General features: G+C 42.7%; 1 annotated feature.

The window, feature by feature from the left end:
- Positions 1005-1632: an enhancer, noted in NCBI's record as "NANOG-H3K27ac-H3K4me1 hESC enhancer chr8:23507883-23508510 (GRCh37/hg19 assembly coordinates)". NCBI's record gives its function as "activates a minimal SCP1, AML or CMV promoter by ChIP-STARR-seq in naive H9 embryonic stem cells {active_cell/tissue: H9 hESC(naive)}" and the evidence as "EXISTENCE:reporter gene assay evidence [ECO:0000049][PMID:30033119]".

A 7840-nucleotide genomic window follows, 5' to 3' on the forward strand; every position in this document is an offset into this window, starting at 1 on the left:
GGAGCTCTTGTAGGGCAGGCCTGGTGGTGACAAAATCTCTCAGCATTTGCTTGTCTGTAAAGGATTTTATTTCTCCTTCACTTATGAAGCTTAATTTGGCTGGATATGAAATTCTGGGTTGAAAATTCTTTTCTTTAAGAATGTTGAATATTGGCCTCCACTCTCTTCTGGCTTGTAGGGTTTCTGCTGAGAGATCTGCTGTTAGTCTGATGGGCTTCCCTTTGAGGGTAACCCGACCTTTCTCTCTGGCTGCCCTTAACATTTTTTCCTTCATTTCAACTTTGGTGAATCTGACAATTATGTGTCTTGGAGTTGCTCTTCTCGAGGAGTATCTTTGTGGCGTTCTCTGTATTTCCTGAATCTGAACGTTGGCCTGCCTTGCTAGATTGGGGAAGTTCTCCTGGATAATATCCTGCAGAGTGTTTTCCAACTTGGTTCCATTCTCCCCATCACTTCAGGTACACCAATCAGACGTAGATTTTGTCTTTTCACATAGCCCCATATTTCTTGGAGGCTTTGCTCATTTCTTTTTATTCTTTTTTCTCTAAACTTCCCTTCTCACTTCATTTCATTCATTTCATCTTCCATCACTGATACCCTTTCTTCCAGTTGATCGCATCATCTCCTGAGGCTTCTGCATTCTTCACGTAGTTCTTGAGCCTTGGTTTTCAGCTCCATCAGCTCCTTTAAGCACTTCTCTGTATTGGTTATTCTAGTTATACATTCTTCTAAATTTTTTTCAAAGTTTTCAACTTCTTTGCCTTTGGTTTGAATGTCCTCCCGTAGCTCAGAGTAATTTGATCATCTGAAGCCTTCTTCTCTCAGCTCGTCAAAGTCATTCTCCATCCAGCTTTGTTCCGTTGCTGGTGAGGAACTGCGTTCCTTTGGAGGAGGAGAGGTGCTCTGCGTTTTAGAGTTTCCAGTTTTTCTGTTCTGTTTTTTCCCCATCTTTGTGGTGTTATCTACTTTTGGTCTTTGATGATGGTGATGTACAGATGGGTTTTTGGTGTGGATGTCCTTTCTGTTTGTTAGTTTTCCTTCTAACATACAGGACCCTCAGCTGCAGGTCTGTTGGAATACCCTGCCGTGTGAGGTGTCAGTGTGCCCCTGCTGGGGGGTGCCTCCCAGTTAGGCTGCTCGGGGGTCAGGGGTCAGGGACCCACTTGAGGAGGCAGTCTGCCCGTTCTCAGATCTCCAGCTGTGTGCTGGGAGAACCACTGCTCTCTTCAAAGCTGTTAGACAGGGACATTTAAGTCTGCAGAGGTTACTGCTGTCTTTTTGTTTGTCTGTGCCCTGCCCCCAGAGGTGGAGCCTACAGAGGCAGGCAGGCCTCCTTGAGCTGTGGTGGGCTCCACCCAGTTCAAGCTTCCCGGCTGCTTTGTTTACCTAAGCAAGCCTGGGCAATGGCGGGCGCCCCTCCCCCAGCCTCGCTGCCGCCTTGCAGTTTGATCTCAGACTGCTGTGCTAGCCATCAGGGAGACTCCGTGGGCATAGGACCCTCCGAGCCAGGTGCGGGATATAATCTCGTGGTGCACCGTTTTTTAAGCCAGTCCAAAAAGTGCAGTATTTGGGTGGGAGTGACCCGATTTTCCAGGTGCGTCCGTCACCCCTTTCTTTGACTCGGAAAGGGAACTCCCTGACCCCTTGCGCTTCCCAAGTGAGGCAATGCCTCGCCCTGCTTCGGCTCGTGCACGGTGCGCGCACCCACTGACCTGCGCCCACTGTCTGGCACTCCCTAGTGAGATGAACCCGGTACCTCAGATGGAAATGCAGAAATCACCCCTCTTCTGCGTAGCTCATGCTGGGAGCTGTAGACCGGAGCTGTTCCTATTCAGCCATCTTGGCTCCTCCCCCCATCTAGTACATTTGAATGCCACTTCCAACTCAGTTGATCCCCAATCAAACTTCCAAATCTTCTCAACTTCTTATTTCTGGAGAAACCCTGGTACTACTTTTGAGTCTAGAGGCTTTTGCCTTGTTGCCCACATCCAGTGAGTTACTAAATTCTCTTAGTTTTTCGTTTTTTATTGTCCCATGCCAGATCATTGCAATAGCTCCCCATCCACAGACTTCCTTTCAGTGAGTCTTTCTCCTCCTGCCTTTTTTTTTTTTTTTTTTAAGACAGAGCTTTGCTCTGTCACCCAGGCTGGAGTGCAGTGGCACAATCTTGGCTCACTGCAACCTCAGCCTCCCAGGTACAAGCGATTCTCCTGCCTCAGCCTCCCTAGTAGCTGGGATTACAGGGGTGCACCACCACACCCAGCTAATTTTTTGTATTTTTAGTAGAGACGGGCTTTTGCCATGTTGGCCAGGCTGGTCTGACCTCAGGCAATCCACCCACCTAGGCCTCTCAAAGTGCTGGGATTACAGGTGTGAGCCACCACACCCCACCCCTTTTCCCTTTTAACCCCCTCTAATCCAGCCCCAAATAGCTATTTGAAGACTTTCCTAATTGCTCCAACTTCAAGAGATTTGTGTTTCTTTTAAACCCCTGTAGTGCTGATTTTCTGCCCCTGCCCCCCAATTTAGTATTCCACTTTATCTTTTAGTTATCCTTTTAAAATGGATGGTTTGATTTCCCAATAAGCTGTGAACAGGAACTGAGTCTTAGGCTTATTATATCTCCCCCAGTACCTAGATCTCTGGTGAACATATACTAGTTGCTCAGTAAATATGTATTGGTTGATTGAATGTGAATCCATCCCATCAGGGTTTGCTGCCTGTCTTGAGACTGTGTGAGGGGGCTGTGTTCTGAGTTTAGGGCCCATGCATAAAGCTCTGCTTGACCTGCAGGTGTTGGAAATGAGTTAATTTCTTTTTAATTAGGGCATTACTCTCAACTCAGAATTTTCTATATTAAAGCCCCAGTTTTCTGTATTAAAGATCTCATCTTACCACTTAGCGTTTGACAATGGCCATAATAAGCAATGCCTCAGCACAGATTTGTTTACTATCCCTGGACCTTTAGGGCTCTGGACAGTGGAGCTGACCATCGTGGAAACAGCACACTGGAAACATCAATCAGATACTGGTCTTTTGACTTCATGACCAATCATGGTCCTTTCTCTTTTTCTTTTCTTTCTTTCTCTTTCTTTCTTTCTTTCTTTCTTTCTTTCTTTCTTTCTTTCTTTCTTTCTCTTTCTTTCTTCCTTTCTTTTTCCTTCCTCCTTCCTTCCTTCCTTCCTTCCTTTCTTTCTTTCTTTCTTTCTTTCTTTCTTTCTTTCTTTCTTTCTTTCTTTCTCTCTTTCTTTGTTTCTTTCTGTGGGTGACTTTGGGTAATTTACTTGACCTCTATGTCCATAAAATTTAAATTAAACTGTCTATTTTAAATTAACCAAGTAGGATGTTGGAAAATACTCATTACAGTGCCTAGCATGCAGTAGCCATTCAAGAATGGTGGTTGAACATGAGTTCAATAGCAGCAGTTAGGGAGGCTATGAACTCAGCTCCTAGGAAGGGCTGGGGGTAACTTAAAGGCAACAGGAAAGTTCCTCCCTACTGTCTTTGAATAGATCCTCCACTAATGCCTGAAATTCCACTTTCAGAAGACTGAAGATTCTGAAGATTTGTTCCTCTAATCTATCATTGCTGTCTTCAAGCTGCATTTTAAAAAATGCTCCTTAATAATACCTTTAAAATGTGAGGAGTTACATATTGAGTCCTAACACCATAATACGTATTCATTTACAGGGAAACAGCAGTCAGCATGATCTTATTTATGTGCTGGGCAGCTGTGGGTATTGGATATGGGGGAAAAAAGGAAGGAGAAAGGAGTTTGGGGGATGTGGGAAGCAGACTCCCAAGTGAGCAAATTTGTAAGTCAGTATGAGCATGGCCTACTGGCACCCCTGTACTTTAGTGTATTAGAAGAAAGTCAAGAAGATGGCAATGAATTACAAACATCTGAGCTTCCACTGGCGTTTTTCATGAACGTTAGATAGTGTGACTTTTTTTTTTTTTTTGAGACGGAGTCTTACTCTTGTTGTCCAGGCTGCCGTGCAGTGGCACGATCTTGGCTCATGGCAATCTTTGCCTCCCAGGTTCAAGCAATTCTCCTGCCTCAGCCTCCTGAGTAGCTGGGATTACAGGCGTGTGCCACCACGCCTGGCTAATTTTTCTATTTTAGTAGAGACGGGATTTCACCATGGTGGCCAAGCTGGTCTCGAACTCCTGACCTCAGGTGATCTGCCCACCTCTGCCTCCCAAAGTGCTGGGATTACAGGCGTGAGCCACCACGCCAGGCCGATAATGTGACTTTGAGTTTCCAGATGGAGGTGGGACTCCCTCAGATGATGAGTCTGCTCTGGTAGGTCTTCCAGGAACCACAGATAGGTCCCATTCTCATTCTCTCCTATAGAAAATGAAGTACTCAGGGGAAGACGTGTCCCTAAAGAAATAACAAGAGCAGTTTTTATTGCAGTTTATGGGTTCCAAGTCGCAGTTCCAGCCAATAGCATATGATTCAGTATCATCTCTCATTGTGAGCTTGTTTTCATTCTATTTGAAGTCCTCCTCTCCTGTGTTTCTTTGAAAAGGGGTTTATGTGAACAGGGCTATGCTTTCAATGCCCTAGGTCTGCCATGCAAATAAGACACTTCCATCTCAGTGTGTTCACCTGGAGAAAGATTTTATTAGGTAAATAAAGCAGTAAGTCATCTTTACATCAGAATAAATACAAAGACGTCCAGCCTTTTGTCCTTTCTCCTCCTTTGCCAAAGAAGACGACCCACTCACCTCACCGAATTGTTCCTCATGTGGGTTCATGGGAGACAAAATGTTTTTAGCAGGAGATGAGGCATTTGCTTGACAAGAACATTTCTGAGCTGAGGCTTCTGGTTTTAACTTTGTCAACCAGCAGGCAGCATTTCTCTGACTGTAAATCTGAGTTAATTTACAGACATGCTCCTAAGGAAGGAAAAACTGAATCAGTACCCTTGCTCCTGACACAGAGAGAAAGTCACCACCAGGAGAAAAAGAAAAAAAAGATCTCAGGTTTCAATGAGATAATGAACTTGTAACCACCTGAATATATCAACGAGGTAAAGTTAATGGTCTCTTTTCTTCTTTTCACAGACACCTCTTGAGCTGTGTGTTTTTATTGCTTTTCCCCCTTTAAATTTACCTGGAAGCTCATTGAACCTTCCCTTAAATAAAAACGTTGTGGAGGTGAAGGATCAGAGAGCAACGGGGCATGATTTGCTTTTGACCCTTGGAGTCTCTTGGAACAGGCTTGGGCCCTGGGGACAAACAGGGCGGGGTGGGATGGGGAAGAGAGACAAGAAAGCAAATCTCTCCTCTGGCTCCCTGCTCCTTCCGTGAAGACGAGAGCTGATGGTGGAAAACGGAGTCTCTTCTGAAGGTAGGCAGCTGACATAGAAGACCGAGTGAAGATGTGTTGTGTCTGATTGTTTCTGAAGTGAGTCTCTGAATCACAAGTCACAAGTGGTCTAAGAGAAAAAGAAAGTGTCGGAAAACAGCAGGCCTGGAGAGGAGCTGTGTAATAGTCTACTGTCCTTCCCCTCAAAGGCCAGCAGTTGGCTGTCCCATAAAGCTGACTAAGGAGAAGAGGGGATGTTGTGTCTGTGGAATGCCACTCAAAACCTGATCAATTTCTCACGAAGGTGACAGAACTCCAAAGAACACTCATAATTTCCAATAGCCAAGCCACTGGCAAGAAAAAAAATTGTTGCTAGTTTACCCTGGTTGCTTTTCTCACTAAATGTTGCCTCTTTTTTTTTTCAAAAGTACAAACAGGAGCACTCCTTCCTTCCTTATAGCCTGCAAAGAGATGGTGTCATTGAGAAGAGATTACTGTTTGGAGGAGGGGTCAGGAGACCTTTTCTGGAAAGGGCCAGACAGTAAGTATTTTAGGCTGTGCAGGCCATATAGTCTCCTGCCACTACAGTCTGAAAGCCATGCCTGTGGCTGTGCTCCAATAAAACTTTACTATTATTGGAATGACACATATATTTTATGTGTCATGAAATAATGTCTTTCTTTTATCTTTTTTTTTTTCCTGCCGTTAAAAAATGTCAGAACCATTCTTAGCTCACAGTCATCCAGGTGGCAGGCTGGATTTACCCTGTGGTCCAGAGTTTCTCGACCTGTCTGGTCTAGGGTAAAGAAAGTCAAAATGAGTAAGAAAAACACTTTTGAAGTCAACTGTATTGAGGTATACTTTACATACAATAAAATGTACTCATTTTAAATATACAGGTTAGTAAATATTGACAAGTAATACAGTCATGTAACCACCTCCACAATCAAAATGGAGAGCATTTCCATCACCCCAGAAAGCTCCTTTGTGCCTCTTCTCAATCAATCTCACCTCCACCACAGCCAAGGTCAAGAATGGCCTGATTTCTGCCACTTAACAGGCCATACCCTCTTTTCTAGAGCCTGATAGAATTACACAGCACGTCCTCTGTTGTGTCTGGCTTCTTTTGCCTAGCATGATATTTTCGAGATTCGTCTATGTTGCTACATGAATCAACAGTTTGTTTCTTTTTACTGCTGAATACTCTTCCATTGTATGGATATACCACAATTTATTTATCCATTTACCTCCTGATAGACTTCTGTTTTTTTTTCTATTACAGACAAAGCTTCTAATGAACTTTCATACACAAATCTTTGTGTGAACATAGTTTTCCTATATCTTGAGTAAATGCCTAAGAATGGAATTACTGCATCATATATAAGTGCATATTTAACTTCTTAAGAAACTGTGAGATTTTCCAAAGTGGTTGTACCACTGCTGGTGAGTGGATGTACATTCTTACCAGCAGTGTCTGAGAGTTCTCCTTACTCCTCGTCCTCACTAACACTAGTGGATACGTGGTGGCATCTTATCACACTTTTAATTTGTATTTCTCAGAGGAGTAGCTATATTGGATGTCTTTCCATGAACTTATTAGCCATTTGTACATCTTCTGTCTATTGACATCTTTTGCCAATTTTTAATTGGATTCTTTTTCTCCTATTGATTTATGAGTTCTCTGTGTATTTTGTATATAAGTTTTTTGGTTAGATAGATGTATTGCAAATATCATCTCCCAGTCTGTAGTTAGGCTTTTCAATTTCTTAACAGGGTATTTTGATGAGCAGGTGTTTTAAATGTGATAAAGAACAGTTCACCAATTTTTTCTTTCATGGCTCATGGAAAAAGACTCTTTTAACATGTAAAACTTCATGGATTCTCATGTGATAGTGGATATTAATTCTGTATCTAAGTTTGAGAAAATTACATAGCACAAAAGCCACTGTAAACTTTTCTTAACAGCTTTTTTGAGATATGATTCACATGCCGTACAATTCGCCCATTTAAAATGTACAGTCCAATGGTTTCCAGTATAATCAGAGCCGTGTAACCATCACTGTGGTCAACTTTAAAACATTTTATTTACCTCAAAAAGAAACCCTGTACCATTTAGCTAACACTCCTCTCTTTCCATTCTCCCCACCTCCCCGGATCTATGCAAACAGTGATTTACTTTCTGTCTCTATGGATTACCCTATTCTGACATTTCATATAGATGAAATTGTGGTCTTCTGTGACTGGTCTCCTTCAATTCACATAATCATTTTAGGGTTTATCCATGTTGTAGCTTTTATGAATACTTCATTTCTTATTTATGGCTGAATCATAGTCTGTTGATGGATATATCAGATTTTGTTTATCCATTCATCAGTTGACAAACATTTGAGTTCTTTCCACTTTTTGTTATTATGAAGAATCCTGCTACAAACATCTGGGTACAAGCTTCTGTACAGATATATGTTTTCACTTCTCTTGGGTATTTGCCTAGGAGTGGAATTGCCGGTTCATATGGTAACTCTA

Source organism: Homo sapiens, chromosome 8 (genome assembly GCF_000001405.40).
Source record: "Homo sapiens chromosome 8, GRCh38.p14 Primary Assembly".
NCBI lineage: Eukaryota > Metazoa > Chordata > Mammalia > Primates > Hominidae > Homo > Homo sapiens.